The following is an 18270-nucleotide window of genomic DNA, read 5'->3' on the forward strand; positions in this document are numbered from 1 at the left end:
AAGTTAATTTCATGTTTCTTTTGCTTTTTTAAAATTAATTAATTAATATTTTATTATTTTTTGAGTTGGGGTCTTGCTCTGTCACCCAGGCTGGAGTGCAGTGGCACAATCATGGCTCACTGTAACCTTGAACTCCTGGGCCCAAGCAATCCTCCCACCTCAGCCTACTGAGTGGCTGGGACTATAGGCACGCACCACTATGCCTGGCTAGTATTTTTGCAATTTTTTTGTGGAGATAGGGATCTTGCTATGTGGGTCAAGCTGGTCTTGAACTCCTGGCCTGAAGTGATCCTCCAGTCCTGGCCTCCCACAGTGGTAGGATTATAGGCATGAGCCACTGTGCCTGGCCCTTTTTGCTTTTTTAAATATAGAAATATAGCTCCAAGAAAATGTAAAATGGCATATGTAGTCCAAACTATATTTCTATTGACAACACAAATACAGACCAGGATCACAGGCTCCATCTGTAACATAAAAGAGCACAGAAAATGCAGACTCATGAAAAGCAACCCTAAAAATGATCTGCTATGAAGGCAAACGAATCCTCTGGCAACAAAAGCAGAAGAGTAGCTGGAAATGGAGAAGGCTTCATAAATATCTCTGCTATTGAGAATGGCATAAAGGCGTAGCCAGCAGCTTAATCTATGTAATCCAGCAGTATCAAAAAGAAATCAAACACAGATTTTAAAATCCCTGCCTTGTCTTTTGAACTGGCTGTGGGAAAGTAGCTCTCACAGTCTGCTAGAGGTTAGGGCTGTGACTCCCACAGTACTCAAGTCCTCACTTTGATTTTCTCTTGATCAAAGATGGAACCTAATTACTGAAAAAGCACCAAAGGGTCCTCGAAGGAATTCCCTCAACGGGACACACAGTGACCCAGGGAGATAACAAGATAATTTAATACTTGTATCAGAAGTTTTCTGATTAATATTTAGACTCCCATCTATTGAGAAATAGGGAAAAACAGGGATCAATACATTGTGTGAGGTATGGGAGAAGCAATGCTTTTGTCAAGTGGCAATTCAAGTCATTCACAGAGCTAGACAATTTGCCTGTTTATAAAAGGGAACATCCAAGCAGCTCTCCATTTCCTCCTTATTTCCTTGCTCTCTATAGGCTCTTGTGTTCTATAAATAGGCAAGAAAGAAAGTTAATTAGTGTCAGCTTTCTCACCCAAGAAGAATTTTATCATTGCCTCCTTTCCAATCTTTCCAGGCTCTGAGATGGCCATTACTCTTCTGTTACAGTCTGTAATCTACTTTAAATTACTGCAGTATAATCAATGTGATATTGTGCATATACCAGTTGGTTTACACTTTCATGTTCAGGAGTCATCAAGGAAACGTGCTATAAAGGAGGCAAGACTAGGGTGGCAAAGTAACATTCAATCAGTAAGAGCCACACTCCAGAGGCAGCGACTACAAGCCCTTTTATTATCTCTATATCGATCAAGAGCAGAAACTTTGCCAATAGCCAATAAACATCAACATTAGATTTTTATTGGTGAAAGTAGTGGTTCACTAATTAGCATGATAGATGTAATAATGAAATTTCATTAGGTGATGTTTAAGATATTCAAAGTATGTGCATGGGTAAAAATATGTTGGACATACCCCCACCACTGTATAAACATGTAAGAATCCAGCCAGGCCTGTTATCATGTATCCCTTAGGCTTGAATCCCGTACCTCTTAGAAAAATGGCGTCTGTGGCTTGATACCTAGTTGGATATGTGCCCAGCATTGGTTTAGGAGAATTTCTGATTTATGAGGCCAAGTAGAAGGCCTGGAATCATGCCTGATAAATGCTGTTGTTTTTGCCTCAAGTAAACCTTTGTACAAGGCAAGGTCAACTTACCTGGACGTATAGAGAGCTGAGACTTTGTGGAGCTCAAGGAACACAGTGTGTGAACTGCTTTGTGCCTGCTTTGCTAATGGCTGCTTATTAAATAAGCACGTGATGGAATTTTGTTTGAAATTTACATGTTTTATAACCTAGTAGCCAGGTGATAAGGGAGTGGCTTTCTCTCACCTATAATACTTTAAACTTCTTAGTTGCTAACTAATAAAATCAATCTAAGTGTTGTTCATGACCAAACTAGTTTAGTCAGTAGTCAACAGCCCCATTTTTCACCCTGATCCAACAAGCAAGCCTTCTTTCAGTCCTTTGGGTGTACAGTCCTTCCAACTCAAGAACACTATATTCCCTCAAAATTCTTCACCTGGTCAATTCTGATTCACTCTTCAGGTCTCGGCCTAAATCACTGGCTCTCAAACTCTGCTACATATTAGAATCACCCAGACAGCTTTCAAAAATCCCAATGCCCAGGCCACAGCCTATACAAATTAAATAATAACAACTGGAGGTGGGAGCTTCAGTTTTAAAAAGCAATGTTTTTAAAGATTCCCTAGATGATTTCATTGTGCACCAAAGTTTGGGAACCACTGGTTTCAATGTTACTTTTCCAGCAAAGACTTCAACAATCACTCCAGCTAATTTAGGTTTCTCTGCCATTTATGAGCTCCATCTCATAGCTTTCTGTACTTTTTCTTATTTTATCCTTAGCTATGCCATCTTTGTTCTGATCCTCCCTATGCCTCCTAGATGGTGTACCCTATGAGAGCCAAGACCTAGACTGTTTTATTATCACAGCATCTAAGCATCTGGTACGGTACCTGGGACAGGACAATATGTATTTGTGCAAAATGAATGGTCAATAAATTCAATGTTTACCTTTTCACAGATACTTAATCCCCCAAATTAAAACTAGCCAACTAACCAAATATTTGAGTACTATGTGATCAGTTTTCTAACAGGTACTGTGGAGTGACAGAGAAAAAACTTGTAATCTCTTTACAAGCATAATTAATGCATATGTAACATAAGAGAGCTGGATAATGCAGAATATACAAAAACAAAGACCAATAAAATTGAGTGTGAGGTGATAAAGAGTAATACACATATGTGGACATCTGTCCTCCTTGACTTAAATGAGTGAAACTGAGCATGGACGGTCTAATTTATAAATCACGTAGTACAGGCTATCTATCCATCCCAACTCTGCCTTCTGTCTCAGCCTTGAATTTCATTACCCAGCAAGTCTTCCTGAGCTATATGAAACATTTGCATAAGTCAGCAGCCTTTTGTTTATCTGAGTCAGAAAACCAGATTCACTCATAAAATGTGAAAGAAAGAGCTCCATTTTGAAAACTGTCATCTTTACTTAATTTTGATCAAGCATTTGGGATAATATTTAAATGATTAGCCTGATGAATCAAAGAGCTGTGCTAAAAGAAACAGATTGGTTTATGTGCTCTAAAATATTTACCCTCTTCCCATTTTTATCTTCCACCCAAATCCTTGACGATATAAACATCTTCTGGGCTGTCTCCACAAACTACCATTCCTACATTCAGCATGAACAGACAACTTCTGAGCAGAAACCCAGACTGGGGGCAGGGGACAAGAAACGTTCTTGCTAATTTCAAAAAGCTGTCATACAAACAAACAGACCAAAAGAAGCTCTCAGGCACTTTTGCCTAATAACAAAAGCAGGTGCTGCAAATTAAGGTAGTGTTCACAGGCCACATCAGAGACAGAGTACGCATAAATTCTAGGGAGCTCCAGGGTGAAAACAGGCATGTGGTAAAAGTACTAATGAAGGACACACAAGATTAGTCCGAGTTGCTCGAGGGCAGAGACAGCTCTTTTTCCAAATGAAATCTGAGTTAACCACAGGACTCATCCTATTAAAGCAAAGGACGGAATTTGTCCAAGGTATTTTTGCAATGGGTAACATTAAAAGAGTCCTCATGGGTGTGACTGACATTAATTTATTATTCTGTATTGTAGCTGAGCTCACCAGAGTTCGGGATGAATGAGAAAATGAATAAGGATTCACAGTACAGTTTCGCTCCCTGGTCCAGCTCAGTCCTGTGCCACAGAAAGTGGCTGATAACTCTTTTCCAATAGGGGCTTGACCATAATAATGTGTTAGATGTGTTTTACATAACAATTTACATTGTTATGTAATACAATACACCATTTGAGGAAGAATTGTGTCAGGATAGTATCAATGTATGACTTTTTGTGCACAGGTAAGATTACCTAGAATTTATTTTTTTCAAAATAAATATTCTCAAAGTTTCTAAATCCAACTTAAAATATTTTAAAATTCTCTTTTGAAATTTAGGAAATATTAACAATTGCTTTTAGGGAATCTTTGATCAATGTCTGGTCTCATGTATTTAATCAAATTCCTTAAAATTTTAAACTTATATTTATAAAGTTTCTTTTCAATTTCCTTAATTGCCTCAATTGTTTGAGTAAAAACAAATACTACCACATACATAAGTAATTCTTGTAAATGCAACAAATTAAAGTACAAACACGGTGGATCCTAAGTTATCTCAAGTTGTTCAATATTTTTGATAAAACATTAAAATTTCAACTTAAAAACCCAACTCTGAATAAAATAGTCAATTATCCATTTTAATGTAATCACAGTGTTCAATGAAAATACTCATACATTAAAATGCCATATACATCCAGATTTATTAATACAAAAGCATTTAATATTATGGGGTGATTCTCTTAAACACTGTACATTTAATTTTAAGTCTTATAGAAACTACTGAATCACCTGAAACAATTTTGTGGTCATGCTGACAAGCAAATGTTCAACCACTGGGAGTGGTTGAGTATCAACTGCAGGTTTTAGCCTAGAGGTAAGTTCTGAGATTGCAAGAGATCCAAGGTAATTTTTCTCACCACCATCATCAACACACCAAAGAAACCCTGTTTGACAGTCATTAAACCAACATGGGTCTACAGACTTTGCCTGGTCTTGCAGCACACATGGCTAGATTAAAGCCGTATCTTTGTTTAATTTTCCTCTATTGGCAGAATTTTGCAACCCACATGAAGCTTTGAGCTAACATCCTTCATTGCTTCAGTTGTATTAATTCAAATTTATTTGAGTTTCATAGATAATTAATTTCTCCATTGGATTCCAAGGGTTCCCTGCCCATTTAAAAAAAATTCTGTACTGACCAAGTAATTAATGATTTTCCTAATCTCTCCAATCCTTTTATAGATACTCTGCCTGAGAAAGAACTCCCAGGGCAGAGTCTGATTCTTCCAGACCAAGCCCTTCTGAGTACCCCCACCTTCTGGCCATACTGCAGTTTGAAGTTCACCTTGATGCAGGCTAAGGCATTTGTCTGCAGCAAGTAAGTTTTCCATTTTCCAGACTTTTAGCCACAAACATCTTCACTAACTATTCTTGATCCTTCCCAGGTAAGTGCCAAATGGGACATGGGCCAAACATCTTAGAAATTGAAAACTGGAAGAATTAGGTCATGTCATCAAAACTTGCTATTTGCTAAGGAAAATGACTTAGAAATGCTTTAGAAGATATCTGCCTGTAATGGAAAAAATATCTGAGCCATAAATAGGAGTTAAATGTAATGAACTATGAAAGTGATGCTCTACTACCTAATAAATATTTTTTAAAAGGGTGTTCCACTTTAATATTAACTGAGCCATTCATATACAAGTACACAGAACATATACCTTTGCACATAATTTTTAACAATGAATTTATGACCTGTCAACTTTTTTCTTCAAGAACCACGTTATAAAAGTTGACTCATTTAATTAGCCATCAATAAATATATAAAAAACAATTTTAGAGTCAGATAAACAGTAGTGGATTATCTTGGAAAGAAACGGGAGTTTTCCTTCTGAGAATGAATGGAAGGTGGCAGACGCTGTCTGGGACACAGTGTTCAACGCTTCCCTTTCCTTCTGCATAACAGCGTAACCAAAATGGATGCCAGAGACTACTTACTCATCTTTGTACCTGACATGGTCTAAAGCAGGATGTTTATACTCAGCTATCTCAAATCCCTTTTGAAATACAGTGGAAATAAAATAAGTAAATACAACATATATGCATTCCCCAAAGTGTCAAAAACTATTGAATAAGTTACTCAATTTTGCTAAGAAATAGCTGAGTTTAATGTAAATTTATTAATAAGTCAGACATAAATTGAAATTGCTATTTGATTTATGGAAATATCTTGGCTAACTTGTAGACTAAACTTAACTGCCCTAATGCAGGCAGAAGTCTTTCCCCAGATTATCAGACCAGAAGGCCAGGGAATTATTCCATAGTAATGAAGATATCTTTTCATCCCCAAATTGAAAACAATGTTAGAAAGTTCCTGGTATAATCACTTTAATTAAGTGCAATTCATTTGATCCTTACACAGATCTTCCAGGATTACTGCTTACATATAGACAATTATAAATATCCAGAGACTTCCCAGTTCTTATTACAGGAAACTAAAATGACTTAATAAACAATGCATTCTCCCATAATTTGGGCCGATTCTATTTTCATTATAGTGCTTTCCTATATTTTGTACCAAACAAAAAACAAACACTTATTCCTTATTGTTGAACTGCTATGGCTTGAGCCTTTGAAAATAAAAGTCAGGTTCAAATATAAGCGGACCATGGAAAACAGCCGATGCCTTCTGTCACAATGACACTCTGCCTGTCAACATCCAAAACAGAAAGCAGATCCAGTTTGGAGCTTCCAGCAGCATGACCAGAAATGTAATTTAGAACAAAATTTGTAATAGTAATAGAAGGAATGAGAGGTTTGTGTTGTTATTATTATTCTTTAATTGACTATATTGGTCATCTAAGAAAGTAAAAACTCCTTTTTTGGCTTTTTCCAACCCAAAGCCACCTGAATGTTTTGTAAAGAGCCATCACAATAATCAAAGTAGTGGTCCATTTGTGCAGGATAGTGGGAAAGTAGCTTAGTGCACTTTAAGATATGAGGAATTTGTAGCGTTAAGCAGGTAACTTTGACATCACCTAAATCTATGCGCCAAATGCCTTTTGTTTCATATTTCTAAATGAATTTTTCCTTCAAGACATTCCCTGAGTCATCAGACCTAGCTCAAATTGAAATGTACTGCCAGACGCGGTGGCTCACATCTGTAATCCCAGCACTTTGGGAGGCTGAGGTGGGCGGATCACTTGAGGTCAGGAGTTCTAGACTACCCTGGCCAACATGGTGAAACCCCGTCTCTACTAAAAATACAAAGATTAGCCGGGCGTGGTGATGCATGCCTGTAATCCCAGCTACTCAGGAGGCTGAGGCAGGAGAATCGCTTGAACCTGGGAGGTGGAGGTTGCAGTGAGCTGGGATTGCACCACTGCACTCCAGCCTGGGCAACGGAGTGAGACTCCATCTCAAAAACAAAAAAAACAAAAAAACAAAAAAAACATTTGAAATGTACTGAGATACTACGCATGACCACCACTGATAGGCATTATTTGTTGTCACAGTGTTCTCATCCCTGAAGGGTTTCAGGGACTTATATGTCTCTGGGCCAAGCTGTACTTATTGATTCAAATGCCTGCCTTCCACAGTACACAAATTTGACATGACAGTTCAATATATGCACTTACTTCTTATGTTTCCTAAAGTAACCATTGAATTATTTGGGTAAAACTTACCAGAATGTCTTCAGGTAACAGTAATTACAAATGTCATTTGGTTAGGGAAGATATAATGTGAGACAGGAAAGGAAAGGAAGAAAGAAAAGGAAAAGAAACAATTCCAAAATAAATTGTTCTGTAACAATAGCTTCCTTTTAGCTCAGTCATCTAGAAAAAGAATAATTCAATAGCATTCAATGCTATTCAACAATATGGCAAGATCTCTAAGCCAACTTCTACAGAGTTTATCATTTTTGTTACAGAAGCAATAATCTTTTGTTGGATCATGCCCAGCACAAAATCCCAGACAAATGTTTAAAAGGGGAGCTTTCACTTAATATAAAAACTCTTAAAAGACTTACCTAGCCTCTGCAACTCATTTGTAAATCATGTGTTAAAATTGTCTACCTACCTTCATTATACATCAGATTTTGGATAACAAAGATATCATCTGAAGAAAAAATTTGCTAGTGGTGATTTGAAAGAAAAAAAGAAACCTAAGACACAAAAACTCTTTCACAACAGTTCAAAAATCTTGAGGCCAAATTTATGCATTCATTTGGCTTTCAGCAGGCAACTGCTTTGTCCTCAGCAGTATTATGCAAGCTTACTTAAGAATGCAGAAGAGCTCAGAGAGCTGAAAATTCTATTCCCATTGCCATGGTGAAAACCACAATGAATGAAGATAGCAGCCCCCAAGCACAAGTAGGGTGGTCTCCAGTATCCCCATGGAACACCACCACTAAACTTGAAAACAATGTTATTACACAACTTAGAAGTGAACTCTCCATCTAGGATCTAAACACATACTTCAAATATCATTTCAGAGAAACAGATCCTCTTTCTCCCCATCCCACCAACAATGACAAAACCAACAAAAGACAGTCACGAAAAACAGGAATTTTTGAGTATCCAAAAAAAATGTATGAATAACATTCACAACAGATATTTCTCATGTTCTGGAGAAATGCAGCTCCTTATTGCACAATCCAGGAGTATTTTGTACAAAACCTCCCAGAGGACACCCCCACTGAGATGATCAATCAGCCCACAGTGGCTTCAGGATGCTTTTCAAAAGTCAAGTCTTTGAAGAATGTTAACATTTCACTACTTCCTTTTCCGAAGGTTATTGAATCAAGAAGTCATTGTCCCCTATCAATCTTTGCAGGGAAAAAGAGAAATCTACAACTTCCTGATCACACAACTGCTTGGCTTACGGACAACATTCCATATTTCAAGCAATTATTACATATTAAACCATTGTATTATAAATAAGCGGTTTATTATAGGGGAGCCTTCCTTAGTGACAATCTCTGTCAGAGGGATATTTAAATAAAAGGCTAAATTTACCTTTTATAATATTTTGCTGCCTATAATAAACACATGTCTGCACGGGTAGTATGATATGTATGCGTGAATAACCTGTTTATTCCTGGGGGCAGTGAGTTGCTCTATGTACGAATATGCACATCAACTGTAGTTGCTAATATTTCATCAAAAGGCCACACTCCAGGGTGGCTGCTACAGATCTGCTTTCCTTATTTTTATGTCCACACCAACCTGAGAAGTTTTTCTAATTGGCAAAACGGGTATAAGAGGTGGGGGTTTTTGTTAGTAAAATTATTGGTGCTCAATATATGTGGATTTGGATAGAATCTAAAGACATTCTTCCCTTTTATGTGTAACACTAGAATAATCCAGGGAGCTAAGGAGGTGAGCCACTTTTTGGAAGTGAGGTGCTTTTTGAAATGGTTGCTGAACTTGATTCCAAAATAGTGGTATATCCAAGCATGATTCACAGGACTTCGGTTGCCTTATTCCTTCTCTAAGCTTAACCAAGTCCTGCCCTTATAATAGTGTTGTGTTTATCTCACGAGGACCCTTTCATATCAGCTGTGATTGAAGCACCTACAGGGACAGAGACCTGGGACTTTCATGAGCTTCAGAAAAGGCGCTATGATTACTGGGGCCTGATTGCTATGACATATCTGTGTGGGAATGTTATGAGTATGCTTCTGTATTTGCAATGGAATTGTCGGGAAGTAGAACTATAGCCCTTGCCTACCTCTAAATAATGACAAGCACTGCCAGCTATTTACAAAATTCAATTTCTCCTTCTGAGGCACATACTTAAACTGTATTTCCCAGTGTCTCTTCAGTGGGATGTGGCCATTAAGTGAAATCTAGCTAAGGAATATGGGAGTAAGTGATGTGTGCTGTTTCTCATCATGGCTTTTAAGAAGTAGATGGATACAGCTTCCCATACTCTCTTTCACTTCTGTGGGACATAAGTATTAGAAGAGACTTAGGGGATGGTATACCTATCAATAGAACCTGGATTCTTGAATCATCATATGGAAGCTGACTGGTAATATCTACTTGGGCTGTAATGTGAGCTAGAAATAAACTTTTACCGTGTTTCAACCGTTATACATTTTTAGGTCTATTTATTACCATGGTCCCACCTACCTAACTGAATCAGGAGACTATCGATACTTACAAGAAATAATCTAGTAATTGTTTATGACCAGACTGATTTAGAACACTTTGAAAATATTCAACTATAAATGATCAGTGCACTTTATTTGAAGAACATTTGAGAAAAAAATTGTATTGGGGAATTAGCAGACAGAAATTTTACCAAGCAATTTTAGATTTTTACATATGACTTTTGACTGACCACTACTTCTAAGTCTTTCTAATTTTTTTCTTTTCTTTTTCTCATTCAGGAATCACAGCAGGAATCTTAATTATACTACCATGCCTAAAAATAGCAGCTAGCAATTCTTGAGAACTAACTATGTTTTGGGAACTGTCCTCAGAGCTTTCTGGCGATTGATTAATTTCACAACATTAAGAGGCAGATGCCACAATTGTTCCCATTTTATAAAGAAGAAACTGAAGTACAGAGAGACTACTTCCCCAAATTTATACAAATTGTAGGCCAGGTGCAGTGGCTCACGCCTGTAATCCCAGCACTTTGGGAGGCCAAGGCGGGTGGATCACGAGGTCAGGAATTCAAGACCAGCCTGGCCAAGATTGTGAAACCCTGTCCCTACTAAAAATTAAAAAATTAGCCAGGTGTGGTGGCGGGCTCCTGTAATCCCAGCTACTCGGGAGGCTGAGGCAGAGAACTGCTCGAACCCGGGAGGCGGAGGTTGCAGTGAGCCGAGATTGCACCATTGCACTCCAGCCTGGTCAACAGAGCAATACTCCCGTCTCAAAAAAAAAAAAAGAAAAAAATTGTAAATGGCAGCAAGGGAACCTGAACCCATGTCTAGCACCAGTAGGCACTCTCTTAACATCTTCACTATATTACACCTGCCTTCTGCAGATATCACAGTAGATTCAAAGATGAACGAGCCCTAACTCTACCCCAAGGAGTTTATAAAATTAGACATAATACAAAGTAGTACAATATATGCATCGCTAAGTGAAATACAACATATTGTGGACTTTCAAAAGAGGGAGAGATGATATCTAATCAAAGAAATCTGGAATATTTAACGAAGGAAAAATAGCATTTGTTATTCATTTTAATCCAATTTAACATACTTGTATTATGCAATATTTTATGCCAATTCTTCAGAGCCTGTGGTCAAATAATAACTATGAAATGTATCCACATTGATATGTACTCAGGAAAATATCCTAATCTTTAAAGTAGGAAAATAAGATTAAAATATTCGTAAATTATGTTCTTATTTAAATGTCAAACCCGAAACTACTCAGGATTTTTTTTTTTTTTTTTTAGGAATTGGGGGTAGGGGGGGTGGGTCTCACTATGTTGCCCAGGCTGGCCTCAACCTCTCTGCTCAAGAGATCCTCCTGCCTCAACCTCCTGTGTATCTGGGACTACAGGCGTGTGTCATCACAACCGACTAGTTTTTTTTTTTTTTTTCTTTAAGTAAGTTTTAAATGAATTTTTCTGTTGTGTTGCTGTCTTTAATAAGTGAACATATGTTTGCATTTGCACAAGTGTATTAAACTCTAACATGCATATTGACAAGTGTACATATAAGGTCAGAGCTCAAGGAATTTTCATAAGCTGAAGACACCATGTAAACTTTACAAACATTAAAAAGAATCAACCAGCACCCCAGTAGCCTTCCTTCTATTCCTTTTTAATCACCACCCCTTCCCAAGGGTTATCCTACCTCCTGACAAAATAGATTGGTTTTGCCTCTCTTTGTACTTAAATAAATGGAATCATAAATTATGGACTCTTTTGCTATGGCTTCTTTGACTCAAATTTATGTTTACGAGACTCATCCATAGTGATGAGTATAATTAGAATTGGTTTATTTTCATTGCTGCATAGCATTTCATTATGTGAATATACCACAATTTATCCACTCTACTGTTCATAGGCATTTGGACAATTTCCAGTGTTTGATTGCTCAAAAAAATAATTCTGGGAACATTCTCATATGCCGTTTCATTCACATATCTATACATTTTTGTATGGACTATATGGAGGGGTGAAATTGCCAGATCACAGGGTATAAAAGCATTTAGAAAGATATTACCTATTTGGAAATCAAGCTCAATAAATAATGTTATGAGTTAGTAGTAGCACAAACCAAATGAGAAATGCTTAATAAAATAAGCATTAGCTGTGAGAATATGTGTCAACATTCACACAACATCTTCCTAATTCCATCTTCCATCTTCCTCTTTCCAGTATCAGATTTTAGCCACAGTTCATTAGAAGCTTATCTTGTCATTTTTCAGGAAATTTATTTTATAATACCACATTATGCTTCAGGGCATGTGTTTCAGGACAACTGAGGGAGTCTTCATGGTGGATTTGGGCTGGAGTTGAGGTAGAGCAAGGGCCCCTGCATTTGGTGTTATCAGTCTTCTGGGACTTTCTTGGGGTACTGTTTTCACTTCTTCTTCTTATTTCTAGTTTAGTAAATTTCACATATAATGCTTCAAGCTGCTGTGGGCTTATTTTTTTTGCCATTTGTGTTAAAACATGCTATGAAATTCTTGCTTACAAAACTTGGATAGAAGGCATGATAACACCAATTATTTGTCTTATCTCTGCCCAACCACCTAAATGATATAATTACTGGCAACTGAGGTTTTTTCCTATGCCTGTTGGCATTTAGACCCCTAAGAGTATTATACAGGCTAGGGTAAATTAACCTGAGAGAAAATAGCATGGTAACTTATTTCAAAACACAAATCATTTTTACTAGAACCAGGCCAAATCAATGTCTTTGAGAAGCTACAGGGTCTTGAGTCAAATTACTGGGGGTGGACATGGTACTTTTTCCTAAACACACAATGAAAAGGATCACTCTGATTATAAAGTCTGAGTTTCCCTTTCTAACCCGTCTGTGGCACATGACCAGTTTATTTGGTGGAAAACACATTCCTCAGACCCCAGGACAGGCCAACTTGTCCTAGTTTAACTTGTGCTGTGCTTTTTTGTAATAGCAACCTAAGACGGAAACATCTGGAAAAATACCATGACTGAGCTGGTGGGATCAAAGACCAAAGTGAAATGCTCTATTGTTAATTTCCAGGAACTGACACAGAACGCAGAGTGAAATAACTCAGCTGGGCATGAATCCCGTTGGATTTCTGAAAAGCTTGCATACTACTATATTGCCTCAGCCGATAACTGAAGGAAAAGTAGTTCAGCAAAGTTGAGGAAAAACAAATTTTTGTGCATGTGTATGCACATGCATGTGTATGCATACGCACATGTGGAAGAACTCAGGTCTGTGTTCAACATGTTAATAGTGTATTCCTCTGCTGGCAAAGACAGCTTGCCATAAAAATACTGAAAAAAAAAAAAACAAAAAACAAAAGCAAGCTGAAGAAACACTTAAGTCCTTCATGAATTGAAATTAAGAACTGTGCTTGCAAAGAAGCATCCCGGTGCCCCACCAGACTGAACTCCAGGGGGCAGTGGCTTTCTGGCATATCTTTGCTCCCCTTGGCAGCTGGGGCAGTGTCTGGCTCATAGTTTTGCAGTAACCGAAGGTGTACTGGATGAAGGATTAATAAATGCATAAATGAATGGGAGAATAAATACAACAAGCAGCAAAGCTTCATAGTCTCAGTGCTGAATTCAAAGTGAGAAGTCTAAACCTTGACACTTTTCAAGCCTTTCTCATTTGCAGCCAGTTTGCCTCCTTGAACTTTGTTCAATACATTACGAAGAAAGAAAGAAAACAATACTTACCTACCTTGAGTAGACATTTGATGCTTAGATATTTGCAGAATCAGGACTAGAAAGGTCCTTCAGACATCACCCCTAGATTCTCTGTCCATAGCAAGTGTATAATGACAGAATGGATGTGAAATGAAGAAATGTCCAAGAAATGAGATTATGCAGTCTCCTTGGGTAACGACTGAAGTTAGAGTACTGAGCAAATGTAAATTGCAACAGAAATGGTAAAGAAAATTAATATGAACTGACGTCTTTGATGAGAGTAAGAGTAGTAAGACTATGTGGGGAAAAATAATCTGAACAATTTGAATCAGGTTCTATTGACTCAATGATCAAGCCCTAGAATATAAACCCAAGGAGGGCTGATATGTTTATCTGTTTTGTTCATTAATGTATCCCAAGGGTTGAGAACAATGCCAGACATATTACAGATGCTTAGCACATGTTTGTTGAATGAATGAACCTTAATATGTTAAAAAAAAAAAAGAGGAGGCATGAAACTCCATTATATTAGGCCAATTCATTCTCCAGTTCATTTACTCTATGTTTTCCCCAACTGTGGTGCCACACAATGATACTTTTGATCATACAGTTTAAAGGACAAAAAGGTAGAGAATAAAATGCCTTTTCCCTTCCCCTACCTTGAGCTCCTTTTCCATACAACCTCTGAATATTTGGGCAATAAAGTCAAAAGTCTGCAGCTGGAGAACAGTGGTATCAGTTTCATGTACTTAATGTGTGAATGCAGTATGTAATTGCAAGAGAAAAGAGAAAGTGCTAGCTTTCTCTCTTTTACAGTTTGTGTGAACATAAATCAAATACAGGAAAGTTATAAAGTCATTGTGCAGTTTTTTAAACATTTATAATTCTGATGTCAGAGGTGGTAGAAAAAATTTGTAAATGGCATGCAAATCAAATTTTCCTCCTAAAGTTGTTAAAACCTGAGTTCTGCTAGTCCCAGCACCTATTTTTATCTTCTTGTCTACCATAGGCATATGAACATTTGTCACAGGTACTTGAATAATGAATACATCTTGTACAATCACATAAGGGTTTTCTTCTTAAACATGAACATGTTTTTGTTTTAAAATGTCATCTGCAGATTTCTTCTAGCCTGCCGATACATTTAGGTTATTCCAAGTTTAGAAGAGCCCGAAGGTGTAGGGAGACTCCTCTTAACTCCAGGAAGAAACAAAGGTGGGATAGGCCAAGTTGCTTTTATTACACTTCTTACCAGTGTCCAGTGTCTTTTCTCTTCTTTGGAATCATCCTGCCTTATTCATATCCCTCTTGAAACAGGACAGGACTGGACTCTACCAAAAAGACTAACTACCCAAGCTTTTTCCCAAAGGCACTGTTGGTTAACAGACATGTTGCAGAAGAATCTGTGTGAAGCCCTCAACTGCTCTGACTTGGGTGCCCCCAGAGGCTAAATTAGGTCACACCAGCTGCATAATATTAAATGGGGCAGGGGCGGCCGGAGCAACGCTGTGAGAAGCTGACATTCCTCAAAGCATGAATTGGAAGCCAAAGTGGTAGTTTTTGTTTTGCCTTTTGAAAATACATCTTTCTATTTCCCTCTGTCATTTAACTAACAGCTCCTCTAACTTTCCACCCGCTCAAAAGGCAAAAGAGACGGAGGGAAGGAGTCACATCAAGGACCAATTTTCCTTAAGCAAAATTCTTCCTTGTTAGCCATTCTGCAAAAATTCATTAGCTGAATTAACCATTCTCCACGGACCTCATCTTTATTCCTCTCTTCTTTCCCCTCCCCGCTTCTTTTTAACCTTTCAGCACAGAATTAAGTCTTTGTGATATTCAGCACATCAATGAACTCACCCAGCCAGGCGGAGCTCCTGGGCCGGGGCAGGGGCGACTTTGTGGGCTGCATTCCAATTGACTGGGGTGGTGACAAGGAGACCCAGCCCCAGCCATCAAATGGGCCCTGTGTCTGAGTATGATTCATAACACAAACATGTTTAGAAAGCGAAAGAAAGGAAGAAAGGAGCATGGGATTTGAAGTCATTGAGTCAGTATTGTTGCAAGATTTAGAGCATTATGTGGGGAGAGAAAGAGTGTTAGTCTTGTGTCCTAGCACCCAATCCACAGACAGATCTGCATCAAAACAAGGCATTTCACATCTTCTAAGATAAGCCCAAATTAAAACAAAACCAAACAAACCCCACATCTACTCTTCCCACTCCACCATCCCACTCCCACCCTGTCCTGGTAAAATAAATGAATGCATGAAATAAACAAGTAAGTCCTGGTCAATCTTACTTACATATTTTATCTTATGAATACTGTAGTATGCCAAATTAGCTGCTAATTCTTTACATGGGATTTGAAAAAAATGCTGCAGGGATTTTTAAATATTCAATGAACTTAAAGAACAAATGGAATATAATAGATTCAAAATGAAATGATTGCCTAGAAGTATGCTCTGATTCCTAAAATAAGATTTTTTTTTAAAGGGTAAAGTTTTTTTGGTCTTTTTTTTTTTTTTTTTTTCCAGAATGCCATATAACTAAAATCTGAGTAAAAGGAATTGGCCATGTCTAACTTTTCTCTTACTCCCTTATTTTTAACAGACTTATGTACATTTTATCCAGAAATCTCCTAACAATGCAAGTAGCGTCTGGGGGAAGTAAAAGCTGCATATTAAAAGTAGGGTGGAAGAGAATGTCAGCTTGAATGTGTGCAGCCCCTAAAGATTATCATCCACTTTAAATGATAAAGATCGGCAAGGCCCCTCATTAAAGCAGAATTCCTTGAAGCTCCCAATAGCGGTTGTGCATTTTCTTCATTTATAAAATACAATATCTGATTCAGTCACAGAAACCTCACAATATTGTCTTATCTTTGACAAAATTAAACAGCTTTGCCTTTCCTATCTTCTACTCTAGTAATCTTTGGCATTAACATGAAATTTCTGCTGTGACCAAACAGCCTTGCCGACTTTACAGCATGTAAAGAATCCCATTCATCCTGAGCTGCCTGGGAGATAAAGGTGGGAAATGGGTGTAATGTTTAGTGATACACAAATATTGCTGCCCAATGATCAGAATACAGATTCCACAGATTCACCTTCCTTAAACGTTTCAGTAATGTTTTCCTTATTTTATTTTATAATATTTATTTTTTAAGAAATGGTTAGGGCATGGATTTAGCTTCCCAATTAGTAAGTAGGTGAATCAGTCTACATTTCAAATGTGGGCTGTACCAGTCCATCTACTTAGCTTCTGGAGACAGCTTCAACAAAACCCAGAACAGGCTGCACTCCCTTTTGTCCTGACCCCAATCTTGCTTATGAAAGAGAACACTTTTAGATGTGAAAAAAATGGCAAATAATGAGTTGTTTCTCTACTCTGGACTTCTTGTGAAATACAACTACAATTCCTTCATCTCTCCCTAGTCCCTAAGTTTAAGCTGATGTCACTAATGTGATCACAGTGCTCTAAAGTTACAGTGTTTTACCTATCATTGAACAAAGAAAAAGAGAAACATTTCCAGCCAGCTTTGGATGAAATGGTTTCAAAACATATTTGGTATTCCCATCCTCTTCTCTGGATAAGTAAGGAAACAAAAAGTGAAAAGCTTTATAACCAATAAATGTCTCATTCATTATATGTGAAATAAGAGTTGAATTAGTCTTCTGAAATGAATCAAAATGTTTTAGCTTTTACTAAAGTTGTAATATTCCTAATTGAGCAAAGTAGTTTAAGTTCATGATTCTTTCTAAATCTTATTTTTTTAAAGGTTTTAATCATTTCAGAAATGAAGGACAGATGAAGAAATTTTTTTAAAAAATTTAATCATTTCGAGTTGTATAAATATTAGGCCCATATAGATTTTTAACAATCATATTCTCCTGCTTGCAAAGAGTTCATAAGTTATTTTTCTATCTTTTCCTGAGAGTCTTTCCCTAAGGTAAACCTCACCAATATAGGTTATGATTGACTAAATTTTTTTTAGAAATATATTTAAAAATCCAAGTACTTTTTATAACTCTTAATAAGATACATATTTCTTTTACAGAAGTAAAAATGTCGAGAATAATGATTTTCAATAAAGTGAACAAAGCACAAAGCGCTTTTATAGAAAATGCACAGCCTAACAGCCTGTGTGTTCCTAGAAGGTCTGGATCACCAGCTGTGTTTGCACCTGCTTAGCTGCCCCTGGCCTTTACGCTAACAGGCAAGCCTCCTTCAAATCAGGCTATCTGGAGTCTGTATTCACTCTTCTCCCACAGCTCTTTTCCTAATTGAGGCACATCACACTCTCAGAAATAAGGCTTATTTTCCAAAGACTTTGGAGTGTCTGAAGATTAAGGTCTGGGTTACTATATAATCCTCAACTTACAGAGTACGCCTTTGCCCATCAAAATGTAATCCATACCTCAATTTGAACCTCTTTAGGTAGGTTTGGTTAATGGATCATTCATCCTTTGTGTCTTCTTTCTGTAAGTAGCAATGAATGTTGCCAGCATCATGGGGGAGAAATAGTAAGACAAGCACTTAAAAGAACTGTTCTAAAAGAAGCAAACAGGAGAGTGCTTAC

General features: G+C 37.4%; 1 protein-coding gene across 2 annotated transcripts in view, besides 1 other annotated feature; it reads right to left on the reverse strand.

Annotated features, from left to right (window-relative positions):
- The window catches only part of LHFPL6 (LHFPL tetraspan subfamily member 6), a 260302-nt gene that overhangs the window by 59289 nt on the left and 182743 nt on the right, over positions 1–18270 (reverse strand). The window lies entirely within an intron of this gene.
- Positions 14863–15805: an enhancer, noted in NCBI's record as "H3K27ac hESC enhancer chr13:39991180-39992122 (GRCh37/hg19 assembly coordinates)". NCBI's record gives its function as "activates a minimal SCP1, AML or CMV promoter by ChIP-STARR-seq in primed H9 embryonic stem cells {active_cell/tissue: H9 hESC(primed)}" and the evidence as "EXISTENCE:reporter gene assay evidence [ECO:0000049][PMID:30033119]".

Source organism: Homo sapiens, chromosome 13, assembly GCF_000001405.40.
Source record: "Homo sapiens chromosome 13, GRCh38.p14 Primary Assembly".
Lineage (NCBI taxonomy): Eukaryota > Metazoa > Chordata > Mammalia > Primates > Hominidae > Homo > Homo sapiens.